The sequence below is a fragment of the Homo sapiens genome, chromosome 11 (genome assembly GCF_000001405.40).
Source record: "Homo sapiens chromosome 11, GRCh38.p14 Primary Assembly".
Taxonomy (NCBI): domain Eukaryota; kingdom Metazoa; phylum Chordata; class Mammalia; order Primates; family Hominidae; genus Homo; species Homo sapiens.
This window is the reverse complement of record NC_000011.10, coordinates 70636363-70651753: the sequence shown is the minus strand read 5'-3', so window position 1 is coordinate 70651753 and position 15391 is coordinate 70636363. Positions and strand designations below refer to the sequence as shown.

The window sequence follows — 15391 nt, the reverse complement described above, 5'->3', positions numbered from 1 at the left end:
ATCAAGGCCAATATTTCATTGCATTCACACCAAAGACAAACAGGGTCTGTCCTGCATCCCTCTTGAGTGTGGGGTGTTTCTGTCCTGGCAGCTCAGTGGCTTCTCACCGTGTCGTCAGGATCCATTGACCAAGGGTAATAGCATTGGGGGCCTTTACTCTCTAAGGCTAATAGCACTGGGGATCTTCAGTCTCTGAGGCCAACAGCATTGGGGTCTGCTCTCTGAGGCTTAATGCACTGTGGTCTTTCTTCTCCCAGACAGAGGCCACTGCTCTGTGGGGAGCCCTGGATGGCGGGGAGGTTGGATCCCTTTTCTGCATGTGGCCTTCTGGGCCTGGGGAGGTCGTTCTCTTTGTCCTCCATATTGACTGGGAACAGGTGGTTCGGGCTGAGGAGTGGCCCAGGAATCTTGCTGAGAAGGTGGATGCGGGCAGCTCGGCAACTGCAAATCTGAAGTCTTGGCTCGTTCATTTTGGGGTTCTAATTTGAAGCATCAGTGATTTCAATTTCAGGCTATAAAAAGATTCAGAATCACTTCAGGGGACCATGGCTGCTGTGCTCAGATGCCATGGGACTGGCAGATGGCAGCACACAGGGTTGGAGAGAGGCAGAGAGGAGCCGCGGTCAAGGGCACAGGCTGTGCCATATGATCCAGGTTTGAATCCAGGCTCTGCCTCTTCCTAACTGTGTGAACTTGGGCAGGTTGCTCATTTCTTGGCCTCAGTTTCTTGAACTGTAAATAAAAGTGTGTGTGAAGCATGTAGCAGTTTCTGGCATCATGAGTTCTCAACAAATGGTGGCAATTGTAAAAATTACTTCTGAAGCTTCACTCATTCATTTCTGAAGCATACATTCTGCCTCCCAGGTACTGGGCTGGAAGAAAGACGTGAATCAGACACAGTTCCTTGAGGAACACACAGTCTAGAAGGGGTAGGCAAAAAGCAGAGTGTGGTGAAGGCCCCAAAGTAAATCAGGAAAAGGGCTTCATGAAAGATGGTGTTGGCTCCAGGCTTTGATGGGTAAGTGAGGTTTTTGCAGGCAGAACTGAGGAGGAAGGTCTTGAGCAAAAGCTTAGGGGGTCAGGAATGTTCAAGGTGGATTTGGGGAGTGATCAGATGCTATGAAGCTGGGCATGACCGGCTGGTCTAGTGGGGGCCTGGGTTGTTAGTGAAGTAGGTACAAATGTGTGTGGCTGTACAGCTGCACAGAGCAAGAGCATTGCTGGATCTCTCCAGGGTGCTGAACCCTTGTGTGGCATGGTCTCTCTCCAGGGTGCTGAACCACTCCAGGGCACTGGCTCTCTGCAGGGTGCTGAACTAGACAGCTGGGAGGATTGGATGCAGCCTTCCTCAGGAGTCTGGAGAAAGCCCTCAGCATGTCCCCTCCCTCCATCCCTGCACCTTTCATTTCTGTCCCCTGTGTCCTTGGAGTTTCTGGGCATAGAGGCTCATTACTTAGTGACAGTCTCATCTACTCGATGGAGAAATCTCTTCCACAAGGAGGGGCCAAGGAGCCAACATGGTTGAGCATCTGCTATGTCCTGCCATGTCCATCTGCATCTGCTTTGAGCCCCACTCCCCTCACCACTGAGGTTTCAGCTCACATGATGCCTTCTCAGAGAGGCCCCTCTTGGCACCCTCAGGTTGCCCTGACTCTCACACTCACACCGTGTGCTTCCATGACCATAGGAATCATACATCTCCCGTGTTAGGTGACTGACTTACTATCCACCTCCCTCAGGGAACATTCCCTGTGGGTCAGAGAGTTTGCTGACCAGGTCTCTGCTACATCTCCAGCATGCAGCACAGTTCAGAGAGATTAAGAAGCCTGCCCAGGGCCCTCCAGGGAGGTCTGAATCTAAGCTGACTCCAAAGCTTGTTTCTTTTGCACTGTGTCTGTCTGATGCTCCAGGTAAGTCCCAGATCATTGGGATGTAATCTTAACAGCCATCTTTTTCTGTGTGTGGATGCTGTACACCCAGCCCCAGGCTACATGGAGCGAAGGCTGCAGGAGGCATAGTGGGCTGACATCTCCATGTTGGAAGCTGCTGGCGCCAGGTCCTCTGATGCACCCATTGGTGCCTCTGGGTCCTCTCCACCTGCCCCCCTCCTCCCTCCCATACACCCACTGCCCACCTCCCAGTGTTCTCAGCAGGCTCTTGTTAGTACTGATTTCTCTTCGCCTTTGGTGCCCTTTCGTGGGGAGTTTCATGATACAAGTGGTTAGACTGGCAAATGAACTGGAGGAAGGCCCTGTGCTAAGTGCCCCACAGGATCTTTTAATTGATGGAGTTTGTCAGCCCTGGGAATTAGGGTGTGTGTGCGCCAACAGTAAGCAGAGTGGGATGAGAAGGGGAGTTAGAGCTGATGCTGTGGAGCCCTGAGAATGGTAGCCCCGCTGTGGTCTCATGAAATCAACCACCCACCAGCAAGTTCTCTACTTCCCTCTCCCCAGGATCTTCAGATGGGTCCCATGGAGCAGACTTTCCCATGCATCTCCTTTGTGTTCAGTCTCCATGGCAGGACCTAGGGGGTCATGGAGATAGACAGGGACGGTCCTGGGCATGTGCACCTCCTTCAGCACCCTCAGGGCTGGGGTTGCAGATGGAGGAGTGGGTTATATGGGTGAGAAGGGGAGATGGCACGTGTGCCAGGCCAGTGAGGAGATGAACGTCGCCATTGGACACTCTCTCTGGTCTCCGGAATGTGCCACACCCCTCCTGTCCCCAGACACTTGCCCACAGTTTTGCCTCCTCCACCTGCTTTACCAGGGCACCTCCTGCATCTGCTCCCTGAAAGTTGCCTGTGATGCCCGCTCATAACCCTCTGCCATAGTCACTTCCTGCACATGCCCCATCAGATAAGGGACCACCCAGAGCCGAGCACATGGCAGGCCACCAATAAATATTCCTTAAGGAAAGGAAGGCACCACTGAGGAGAGCACAGCCAGGATAGAACTTCCGTCTTGGACAAGGGTCTCCTTCCTCCCAAACCCCTTCCCCCTCTCCATCAGGGCCTGAACTTGAAAAGCTGATGGAGGTGGAGGGGTGGATTCATTTACATCAGAGAGAGCGTGAGAAGCCAGCCCTTCCCTGGAAGGTGCCAGCCTTCTCTCCCCAGGCCCACTGGAATCCTGAGGGGTTTACAGGGGGAATTGTACCCCTGGTCCTAGGAAATTTTGAGTAAACTTTACCCCCATATCTGCCTGATAGCCAGCTTTTACATTAGCATTATTTCACTGTGTTTCGAGTAAATCATGTCAGACACAAATAAAATTGGTAATGCAGAGAAGCCAAAGAAAAAACCAGGGATGCTGCCACCAGGAGACAGTGTCCGCATAACAAGGCTTATCTTTGTGGAATTTTACTTCTTTATATGTGTCTGTTAGTAATACATTTTGTCATGTGTTTATACACTTTTTTTTTCACTTGGGTATGTCTTTTTTATTGTGGTAAAATACACAGACCATAAAATTTACCATCAAACCCATTAGCACTCACTCTCCATCTCCCTCCCAGCCCCAGGCAAATACTCATCCCCTCTGGGTCTTGGGTCTGCCTGTTCCGGGCATTTTCCACCCACAGAATCATGCTCTAGGCAACCTTTTGTCTGGCTTCTTTCAGCATCGTGTGCTTTAGGTTCATCCGTATGGTAGCATGTGTCCGTACTACCTTCTGTTTGTGGGTGAATAACGTTCCACCATGTGGTTAGACCACAATTAGTTTATCCATTCACTAGTTCAGGGACACTTGGGCTGTTTCTAACTTATGGTTGTGAATAATGTCGACATAAACGTTTTTGTACCAGTTTTCGTTTTCAGTTCCTTAGGGTACATACCTAGGAGTGGAATTGCTGGGTCAGGTGGTCATTCTGTGTTTCTTGAAACTGCTGATGCACACCCCAGAGTCCCCATCCGGGGTGGGATGGGCGGGTGTTCAGTGAGTGCTGAGTTCACCACCTTCGTCACATGCCTGGGCAGAAGGACCGCAGAGGGAAGGGGGTCCTGTCCCCTTTTGTTAAGACAGAGCTCAGATCCAACAAAAGCTTAACTGCTGAGCAGCATGATACAGACTGCAAATAAGACTCCGAACAGCCACGGCAGTGACTGTGTAAAATGCTTGCGCTGCTTGAGCACCTACTGTGTGCCAGCACCGTTTTTGAGAGAGTTCACACACATGAACTCACTTTGTGTTAAGTTTAACTCGGTGACTTTTATCAGCTCCTTTCTCTGCATGAGGAGGCCACAGCACAGAGTGGGGACTCACATACCCACAGACACACGGCGAGTGGTAGAGCCAGGCTGTTCTTCCAAGATCCACGTATCACTTCCCACCCTCCTGCTCCAACCACCCTCCTGTGCCACCTGTCAGGGAGGCGGGGTCTTGCCCAACTGGATATCTTCTGTGATGCAGATTCTAGAGGAAAGAGGAAAACAAAGAAACAGAGGGAGCTTAGGCAGAAAGCCGGAAGGAACAAAAGTTATGCACAGGCAAGACTTGAAGGAAAACTGGGGGCTTACTTCTACATACAGATGATAAAAGTTGGGGCTACCAAAAGATATTGCTTTGTGCTTTAAGTTAGATTTCTTTTGGCTGGGCGCGGTGGCTCATACCTGTAATCCCAGCACTTTGGGAGGCCAAGGCAGGCAGATCCCCTGAGGTCAAGAGTTCAAGACCAGCCTGGCCAACGTGGTGAAACCCCTATCTCTACTAAAAAAAATACAAAAATTTGCTGGGCATGGTGGCGGACACCTGTAGTACCAGCTACTCGGGAGGCTGAGGCAGGGAGAACCGCTTGAACCCAGGAAGCAGAGGTTGCAGTGAGCCGAGATTGTGCCACTGCACTCCAGCCTGGGCAACAGAGCAATACTCTGTCTCAAAAATAAATAAATAAATAAATAAATAAATAAATAAATAAATAAATAAAATAAATAAAAGTTAGATTCCTTTTAATAACTGGAGAAGTACTATTAAAGATCAGAAACCCTGTTTTCTATCTGTTTGGTATCTGGACTGTGATTCCTTGAAAATCTTTCCAACAAGGACTGGACCACGTGGGGTTAGGGTATCTATCTGGGTTACACACATCTACCAAGTTATTTTGAGCAACTGCTTGTTAGGCTCAAGCCTGGAGCCTAGTGGTTGGTGAAACAGATTTGAATCCTATCTGATCCTTCTTCCCAAAGAGTGCAGAGTTCAGGTCCCATGCTTCTCCATAGCCCCTAAGCAGAGACATCCTGCAAAGTGGTTGCTCCACCCCTATTGTCAAACTGAAGGAAGGAGGGAAAACATGGGCTGAGGAACTTGAGGGATGGCAGGGTGGCCCTTGGAGATCCTGTGTATTGGGAGAGGTGAGCTGTGGCTACCATGCACCACGAACTTGGAGAGTAGAGAGCCTGATTGGGCACTTTGCCTTGGGAAGCCCTAAATGCTGCACTTGGGACACAAGCTTCCTTACCTTTGACCACCCTGGAGGGCTCAGGTGCGTCTGACACAGCCTGATGGATGAGTCTTTCTAGCTGGGAAGGGAAACGATCTTTCCAGCCTGAGGCTCACAGTCATTTACACTGAATGTCCTGGGTTTGAGGGGGCACCAAGCACAGGAGATCCAAACGCTGCCCTTGCCGCCACAGGCTACCAGCATGCGAGTTCTGGGGGTCCACACAGCTCTGGGAACAATAACAAGGACTGTTTCAATAATGACCTCTGCCACTTCTTGAGCACTTACTGTATGCCAGGGTCCCCTTCCACGCTCAGCAGTGTGAGGAAGGAGATGGCATTAGTGTCAGTTTGCACATGGAACAGCTGAGGTTTGGTGAACATAGGATGACCCATCACAGGTGATGATGAGGGAGTGACAGGGCAGGATTCAAACCCAAGTCTGGCTCCGGCTCCAGAGTTCTTGAACACTGTATGCCCTGCTGTGGCAGGGCAGGGGGTCAGAGGGTTCTCGGGGGTCCTGGCCACCCCGATGCTGGACTCAAAGCCCAGGGCACTCTGCCTTGCCCCAGCTCCCCAGTCTGCTGCTGGACTGAAGCGAAACTGTGAGGTGTCGGCCACTGAATTTGAGGGGACTCAGCCCTGAGGGCCTGTGGCAGGTGGCGTTGCCTCCAATTCGTGACATATGCATCATTCTCTTGTTGTAAATATAGCAGCTGAACCTCGGCAGCACCCGTGTGGGGTCAGCAGTGATTGGTTTTAATTCCTGTATTGGGCCCAGCCTCATCTTTTCCGGGAAGACATTTTTTGTTGTCAGTTAATTTTTCCAGAGTGTTTTTCGATGAGCCTTCTGATTACAGTGGACTGATTTGTTGTTCAGTTTTTTGTTTTTTGTTTTTGTTGTTGTTGTTGTTCCTGGAGAACAGGCTGTGTGCCCAGCAGCCCCATGTCCAGCCCTATCCCCAGCCTATAGCCCCCCTAGACAGCCCCTGCCTCCGACCAGCAACACCGGGATTCTGGCATTGAGCAGGATGAAGCTTGTGTGTACCTTGTGTGCTTCTTCAAAGCATTCTTGATGTGTTTTTTATTTTTGTTTTTGTTTTTGTTTTGAGACAGAATCTCACTGTTGCTCAGGCTGGAGTGCAGTGGCGTGATCTCGGCCCACTGCAATCTCCGCCTCCCAGGTTCAAGCGATTCTCCTGCCTCAGCCTCCTAAGATAGCTGGGATTATAGGTGCCCAGCTAATTTTTGTAGTTTTAGTAAAGACTGGGTTTCACCATGTTGGCCAGGCTCGTCTCGAACTCCTGAACTCAGGTGATCTGCCCGCTTCAGCCTCCCAAAGTGCTGGCATTACAGCCATGAGCCACCATGCCCAGCCTTTGACGAGATCTTTTGATGAATTTCCTGCTTGTTCATAGTCCCTGCCAGGCTGGGGTCATCTTAAAGGCAGTCACCTTCTTCTCCACGTGTTTGTCTGAGGCACAGGTGTCGGTCTTGGCAAAAGGCATGGGCTGTTGTTTGCTGAATGCATAAAGGAAGGAATCAATGAAATGAGCACAGCAAAGTGGGACTCAGTGACACTGTGGGGTTTAGCAAGCAGGTCTGGAGATGGATTTCAGCACTGTCCTCACCCCTGACTTTGCTGAGATCTGCATTGTCTCTGGGAATGCATGTTGGAAAGGTGTGTTCTTCCAAGATCAACCTCCCTCTTGCATTTGCAGCAGGCGGGAGCTGCCATGCGGGAGGGCTGCTGGTCCTGCCCTTGGCCGGGGGCCCCCTCAGTTCCTGTCGCTGCGTCCACCCCACATGGAGGTATCCAGCCTGGGACCCATCGGGAAGCAGATGGACAGATGCCAGGAGTGGCCAAATACAACATTCTCTTCCTTTGAACTGTATGATTCCGCTCAAGTGAGGTTCCTAGAGTAGTCACATCCGTCACATTCATAGAGACAGAAAGTAGGATGGTGGGTGTCGGGGGCTGGGGAAGGGGATGGGGAGTTCGTGTGTAATGGGGACAGAGTTTCAGTTTGGGAGGATGAGAAAGTTCTGGAGATGCACGCTGGTGATGGCTGCACACACTGTAAATGTAGTTAATGCCATGAACTGGCCACTGTAAAATGGCAAATTTTATGCTTTGTGTCTTCTACTACATTTTTTTAAATTTGGAATTTTTAAAAAAGCAATGTTCTTCACTTTTTGTTGTTTAACTTTTGAATAGTTGGGCTTTCCTGTTAAATCTGGGGCAAGTCCCAGCATGTTTCCTTAGCTCTGAAACAGGACCAGTGATAACCCCTGCTCGCCGCCACGTACAAACCCTTGGGTCAGCTGAGACCCTGGGCAGAGCTCCAGCTCAGCCCCCGACCCCAGATCTCCTCTGCCCCTCTGTGTTCCTCCCCCCCCTCCACCTGCAGTCCCTTAGTCGGCTTCCTGTTTATTCATAGCTCTGGCCAGCACACGGTATGGTTTCTGTTCACCTTTTGTTGTTGGTCAGTCTTCCCCCATGGGACCATAACTCTATGAGAGCAAAGACTGTCTTTCTTGCTCACCTACAAGAGAAAGCACCCAGCACATGGCAGGAGCTCAACCCTCATTCAAATGACCAAAAACAATGCCAACGTATAAAAGAAAGAGGAATATTTGCATACCAACCACGACGTGATTCCCAAGACACCATCCCAAATACTAACCACAGGTCACAGACCAACCACTGTAGTATAATAATATTTCTGCTTTTTTTTTTTTTTTTTTTTCCGAGACGGAGTCTCACTCTGTCGCCCAGGCTGGAGTGCAGTGGCGCGTGATCTCAGCTCACTGCAAGCTCCGCCTCCTGGGTTCACGCCATTCTCCTGCCTCAGCCTCCTGAGGAGCTGGGACTACAGGCACCTGCCACCACGCCCGGCTAATTTTTTTGTATTTTTAGTAGAGACGGGTTTTCACTGTGTTAGCCAGGATGGTCTTGATCTCCTGACCTCGTGATCCGCCCGCCTCGGCCTCCCAAAGTGCTGGGATTACAGGTGTGAGCCACCGCACCCGGCCTCTGCTTTTTAAAAAAGCATGCAAAAATATTATATGTATTCTCTGTACTCCACATTTTCCAAGGGAACATAAATGTTATGCAAAAGTTCTGGAAAGCTCCACACCAATGTGATAATCCTTCAAGATAAGCCTTCCTCCAAGGTAACCCGTTGGAGGAAGAGATGGGTGGAGGGTGAGTCACAGGGGGCTCAGCTATTTGTTAACTGATACCTAGTAATTGTACATATGTACGGGCCCATGTGACGTTTTGATACATGCACACGATGTCTAAGGATCAAATCAGGATAACTGCGATGTCGTCACCTCCAACATGTATTTCTTTGTGCTGGGAACACTCCAAATCTTCTCTTGTATATTTTGAAATATGCAATAAATTATTATTAACTGTAGTCACCTTGGCTCTTCTGTAAAGTAACTTTTTTTAAAAACTTGTATTCTTTATCTAATTAGAAATAAACGAGCTGGTGAAATTATGGCTCTCAAGCCTGAGGGACCATCTCTGCGTTATTCTCAGTCGCATGGAGGGCCTTTGTCATCTTCACCTCTTCAGCAGGTGCAACTCCTGAGCCAGATATAAATTTCCAGGAAATCAGTGTCCTGTTTGTGTCACTTGGTGTTTCCCAGAAGATGACGGGAGGTGTCAGGGGAAGGATGGAAGTGGCAGCCCGGCCTCTGTGTCCGTGGGAGGGAAGCACCCAGCTAGCGTGGACACAGGGGAGACACCTCTCGGCCCCGCCTCAACTGCGATTAGACAGGCTGAGCCGCCGTCCCCATAAATCTAACAAAGCTACCACTCTGTTCTCCAAAGCAGTTCACATGGGGTGACCTAGCAAGCTCCGTTCTGCCCAGACTTCCTGCTGAGGCCCCTCTGTCACTCACTGGTTGGTTTGTTAGCTAGGACATTGTCTTTATCCTGGGCATTTCCCCCCCACCCCCCACAGCACTGCGATTCTGGATTTAAATTTGAATCGAACGGAAAATCAAAGTTTTAAGACCCATGGGCATTTTTAGGCGAGAAAATTTATCTCAAAGGCAGCCTAATTGCCAGTAGCTAGGCAGGATGGTTTGAGGTCAGGGCGCAGCGCAGCAAGTATTGGGTTGGCTTTGTCTGGTTTCCTTTTAAAGAGACCCTGCGGGCAAAGGCTTCACCAACTGGAAAAGCCTGTGAAATGCGGCCTCCCTCAGGGGAATGCCAGTGACCCCAGCCCCTGTCCTTCTGACCTTACCCATCCTGGTACCCAGTCCCCCGTAGCCTTCTCTCCAGACCCAGGAACTCCCAGGAAAGAGCCTGAACCTTGGTCACCCAGAAGAGTCATCCCCAGTGGGATTGCCTAGTGCAACCCTTGCCCAGAGAGATTGGCCCTTTTGTGCTAGCACAGCTGCAAGCTGGGGCAGGGGCTTGCCTGCCCGCTGGACTGCCCACAGCCCAGGGATCTCGGGTGTGCTTTGTAGAACTGCACCCATTTTAGACATTGTGTGTCCGTGCCCGCAATGCTGGACACCGTAACAAGCCACATACTGAAAACTGGCTGTTCATTTGAGCCGTGGAAAGATATTTATTGCCCCTCTCAAGTCGGGCAGGCAGCTCTCCTCCAAGCAGCTTCAGGCTCCTCCCAGCTCCCAGCTCCTCCATCCTGAATACGCAGATGCCCAGGTCACCGGGCTCGGCCGCCTCTGGCTGGCAGAAGAGAAAGTGCATATCACTTCCGCTTCTGTTCCGTTGACTGCAATCTCAACTGGCGGTCATTCCTCCCTGCAGGGGAGGCTGGGGCAGGCGGTCTTGCTGTGCCTCTGGAAGGAGAGCACATGCCATTCTCTGCTGTTGATCTCACAATGCCTTGTACTGGATCCTCCTAGACAAGCTAAAGCACGTTTAAGAAAAAAGCATAGTCCAGGCGCAGTGGCTTATGCCTGTAATCCCAGCACTTTGGGAGGCCAAGGCGGGCAGATCACAAGGTCAGGAGATCGAGACCATCCTGGCTACCACGGTGAAACCCCATCTCTACTAATACAAAAAAATTATCCAGGCGTGGTGGCATGCGCCTGTAGTCCCAGCTACTCAGGAGGCTGAGGCAGGAGAACGGTGTGAACCCAGGAGGTGGAGCTTGCGGTGAGCCAAGATCATGCCACTGCACTCCAGCCTGGGCAACACAGCAAGACTTCGTCTCAAAAAAAAAAAGAAAAGAAAAAAAGAAAAAAAAGCATAGTAAAGAAAAAAAAAATACTTAGAATTTTAAAAATTCTGTACACGATCTATTGTTATTTTTCATCAGGGAGGGATGCCAGGCAGTAGCCAGCCCATGTTTTAGCTGTCTGAACCTTCAGGCCTCAAGCGAAGAGGCTCTTTGCATCCCTCTAAGTCCCCAGGCTCTCTGTGTAGACGCTCATTGCCTGCACTCATGGTGCTAAGCAGGTTACCCAGCAGTCGCCTCGATTCTTCCTAGGAGCTCTGCAAGGTGGACTTGCCTGACTCTCCGTTTTACAGATGAGTAAACTGAGGCTTTCTGAGATGGAGCAACTTACAGAGGATTCCAGAGCCCAGCCTTGAGGGACTGTTCTAGAGAATGGGAGACAGGGAGGGATCCTGACTGGGCATGCGCCCCTCCTACCCCAGCCCTCCCCTGCTCGTAGTGGGCCCCCAGCTCCAGCACATGCCTGTGATCCCAGGTCAGGGCTCGGGCCTCAGCTTCGTGCAGTCCTCTCTGAAGCATAGCTGTATTCATGTCCTGAGGCCGCTGTCACAAATGACCAGAAACTGAGTGGCCTGAGACAACAGCGATGCGTTCACTCACAGTGCTGGAGGCCACAGGTTTGAAATCCAGGGCCTGGCAGGGCCCTGCTCCCCATGGTGGCTCTAGGGGAGGATCCTTCCCAGCCTCTTCCGGCTTCCCGTGTCTCCAGGCGTCCCTTGGCTCATGGCTGCGTCGCTCGTCTCTGCCTCCATCTTCACGTGGCCTTCTCCTCTCTGCGATTCTGTGTCTCAAATCTCCCCCTGCCTCTCTCTTATAAAGACACTTGTCACTGGGTTTAGGGCCCAGCCAGGTAATCCAGGATAATCTTCTCATCTCAAGGTCCTTAACTTAATTATGTCTGTGAGGACTCTTTCCAAATAAGATCCCATTCTCAGTTCCGGAGATTAGGACCTGGGCACATCTTTCTGGGAGACACCACTCAGCCCACTGCACTAGCTGTGCGTGGCCCCAGGTTGCCTGCTTACCATTGGCGACACATCCCAGCTGCACCTGCACGTTCTGCAGCCTCCAGGCCCCTGGACGGCCTGGGCAAAGCCCTCTGAGCCCCAGACGGGCCTGTGGGCCTGAAGACCTGCCCCCTCCTCCTTATGTCTGAGACCTAGCCCCTTCCTTGGGGCCGTCCCTGGGTCCACTGATGTCCCAATCCCAGCCACGTAGAACTCCACCACTGAGAGGCCGAGAGTTTAGAGAGGAGCCAGGTAAAGACCCCTTGGGGCTCAAGGGGGGTCCGCTCAGGCCCTGGAGGCCAGAACCCACCCTGTGGGCCTGCAGGGCACCTTCATGTCCCTGGCCAGCCAGGGGAGCCTCAGGCCACCCTCCTTCCTGCACCCACCCCACCTACTCATGTGGATTTGGCTTTACCCAATTAATGTGTTGCTGGGAAAATCAGATGGAAATTGACTCTCAAAAAGAAAAGAAAAAGAAAAACCAGGCCCTCTTTGCTGTGGTGTGATGGTCTGTGTCACCTGAAAAATTCATACAGTAAATCCTCATCCACAGTGTGATGGTGTTTTAGAAGGTGGGGCCTTCAGGAGGGGATGAGGTCATGAAGGTGGGTCCCTCATGAGGAGGAGTAGTGCCCTTATAAAAGGAACCCCAGAGAGCCCCTTTGCCCCTTCTGCCCTTTGAAGACACCAAGAGAAGAAACCAGGACAGGGGCCCTCACCAGACACTGACTCTTCCAGCCCACAGCATGGTGAGAAATACATTTCTGTTGTCTAGAAGCCACCAGTTTGTGGCATTTTGCTACGGCACCCTGAGCAAAGGCCTGATGGACTGAGACTCCCTTTCAGGCACTTGCGGAGCCCACTTCCACCCCAAACTGGCCATTTCCTGAGGCTGCCATCTGGGTCCCCAACACAGAGGCCTCTAGATGCCATCAGGGAGTGGCAAGTCCTGGCTGCAGAGACCCTCAGCCAGCAGGGGAAGCCCTTCCCAGCACCAGCCCAGGCTGGCTCTGTGAGACTCAGGGCAGTGTGAGCCATGGACTCTCAATGTTTTTTTTGTTTTTTTTTTGTTTTTTTGTTTTTTTGAGATGGAGTCTCACTCTTGTTGCCCAGGCTGGAGTGCAGTGGCATGGTCTCGGCTCACTGCAACCTCCACCTCCCGTGTTCAAATGCTTCTCCTGCCTCAGCCTCCCAAGTAGCTGGGATTACAGGTACCTGCAACCATGCCCAGCTAATTTTTGTATTTTTAGTAGAGACGGGGTTTCACCATGTTGGCCAGGTTGGTCTCGAACTCCTGATCCACCCGCCTCGGCCTTCTAAAGTGCTGGGATTACAGGTGTGAGCCACCGTGCCCGGCTGGACTCTCAACTTTTTTGACCAAAGCCAGAATAGATCATTTTCTAGGAAATCTTTCTATTATATTTGTTGGAAATTCAGATGTTTTTATTATTGTACAAGAAATGCTGAGCAGACTAAAGAAAATAGGGCTTCCTCGGCCACCGCGGATTTTCCGGTGCATCTGTTGACAGAAGAGCTGCTCCTTGGTCCTCGGCTGTTACAACTCATTCTTTGCTTCCGTTAAAGCAGAGAGGATCAGAGGAGCCGGGGGTCAGGCTGGCCCAGGGAAGGTCATCAGCAGGGCGCCGAGCACATCCTGCAGCCCCAGACCCTCAGCTTTCCCATCTGCAAGCGGGGCCGGGCGTGGATGCAGGGTTCCGTGACAATAGAAGCATTGTGCCCAGCACAGCAGCTGGTCTGTGGCCTGGGTCCTCTGTCACTGGGAGTAGCTTGTGGTCCATTGCCAGCTTTGGGTTTCATATCCTGGCAGCACATTCTTCAAGCCGGCAGTCCGTGGTCTCATTCTATGCCGAGCCTGTTCCCCCCGGACTCTGTAGCTCTAAGCTCCTGCTCTGAGCAGTGCAGTGACGATTAGTGTATTTGCCAGATTATGGGATCAACTTCTTTGCAGGAGAAAATTAGCCCCAAATTGCTGTGTGCCTCACAGCTCACTGTGGGCTGCTAGCTGTCCTGGGGGTACTTTCCAGCTTCCTGCTGGTTGGTGAGCAGACATCTGTGAATGGGACCCACCTGGCATGGGGCTCTTGAGCATTCCCCGAGAACCTGTGCTCAGTGGGCCTGAATTGATGGACAGAGCGGAAGCCGGCTTGGCGTGAGCTGTGGGCAGCTCGCAGACCCCAAACAGGGCTCCAGCCCCGTCACTGGGTAGACTCACTGGTCAGCCTGAGGCTGGCTGGGATACCAAGGCTCCTTGGGATTCCCCTGGGCAGCCTAGAGTGTGGGGTGCGGGAAGGAAAGGGGTCTGACACCTAGGTCTGTTTTGCAAGACTGCCAGGATCTGGGCCCCAGGGCTTTCGAGGGTCTGGAGCAGCCAGTCTCCCCTCGCCAGGGCGCCAGCCTCACTCCCAGTGCCTAGCATCCTTTGTGCCCCGGCCTTCCTGAGCGCTGGGCAGCGGCCTCCCACGGGTCACACCCTCTCTGCAGTGGCTGCTTCCCGATGGGTTGGTGGGGGGAGGTCTGAGGAGCTGCCTATCATGGGCTGGCTCTCCGGCCGCTCATTTGTCTCTGTGGGCACCTGGATTCTGCACCGCAGGAGGAGAGCTGGCCGTGGCCCGGCCAGGAGGGGAGTAAACACCCAGCCCAGCCCCACCTGCCCCCATCTGTGAATAGCAGGAGGGTCTCTATAGGCACCCTGGGTCTAATCAGTTGTGTGCGGGCCACACACTGAGTCCGTACTCAGCACCAGCCTGGGCCTTTTTGGGATCCTGCAGAGAGGAAGAGCAGGCCCTGCCCTCACAGAGCCTGAGTGCTGGGGAAACAGGCACTGCACAGATTGACAGGCACTATGTGGGTCAACAGGCTCCATAACTGGAGGCTGTGGCTGTGCTGTGAATGGAAACACACACATACTAATGCACACACACATGCACACACAGGCACCCACACACGTGCACATACACACAGGTACCCATACACATGCACACACACGTGCACACACATGAATGCACCCACATACGTGCCCACCAGAGGAGTGTGGCCCTGCTTACCCCTTGATCTTAGACTTCCCGCCGCCAGACTGAGAGAAAAATTCCTGTTGTTTGAAGCCCCTTGGTTTGCGGTGATTTGTCGTGACAACCCCAGGAAACGGTACACATGTTCACACACACTTGCACACATGCTACCATGTGCACACACATGTTCACACATGCTTACATACATTCTTATAAATACACAAGTTCTCACACATGCCCACACACATGTTCACACACACGCTCACACATGCTCACACAGATGCTCACACACATGCTCACACACATGCTCACACATATTCACACATCATGCATCCTCGCACATATGTTCACACACGTGCTTACACATACACAGATGCTCACACGTGCTCACACATATATTCATATGCTCACACATTTGCACACATGCTCACACATGCTCGCATACACACACTCATACACTCACACAGACTCACATTCATACACACACATGCACATGTACTAACACGCATTCACACATGCTCACACATATTCACACATTCTCATGCATCCTCGTACATATGTTCACACACGTGCTTACACATACACAGATGCTCACACGTGCTCACACATATTCATATGCTCACACACTTGCACACATGCTCACACATGCTCGCATACACACTCATACACACAGACTCACATTCATACACAC

At 51.7% G+C, this 15391-nt stretch overlaps 1 protein-coding gene across 32 annotated transcripts in view, besides 2 other annotated features; it reads left to right on the top strand.

The window, feature by feature from the left end:
* SHANK2 (SH3 and multiple ankyrin repeat domains 2) overlaps positions 1–15391 on the top strand; it is a 785381-nt gene that overhangs the window by 601481 nt on the left and 168509 nt on the right. The gene's annotated exons all lie outside the window — the stretch shown is intronic.
* Positions 1136–1430: a silencer, noted in NCBI's record as "tiled region #3810; HepG2 Repressive DNase matched - State 19:H4K20, and K562 Repressive DNase unmatched - State 9:DNaseU". NCBI's record gives its function as "represses a minimal TATA promoter and a strong SV40 promoter by Sharpr-MPRA in HepG2 and K562 cells {active_cell/tissue: HepG2 | K562}" and the evidence as "EXISTENCE:reporter gene assay evidence [ECO:0000049][PMID:27701403]".
* Positions 13710–14551: an enhancer, noted in NCBI's record as "H3K4me1 hESC enhancer chr11:70483308-70484149 (GRCh37/hg19 assembly coordinates)". NCBI's record gives its function as "activates a minimal SCP1, AML or CMV promoter by ChIP-STARR-seq in primed H9 embryonic stem cells {active_cell/tissue: H9 hESC(primed)}" and the evidence as "EXISTENCE:reporter gene assay evidence [ECO:0000049][PMID:30033119]".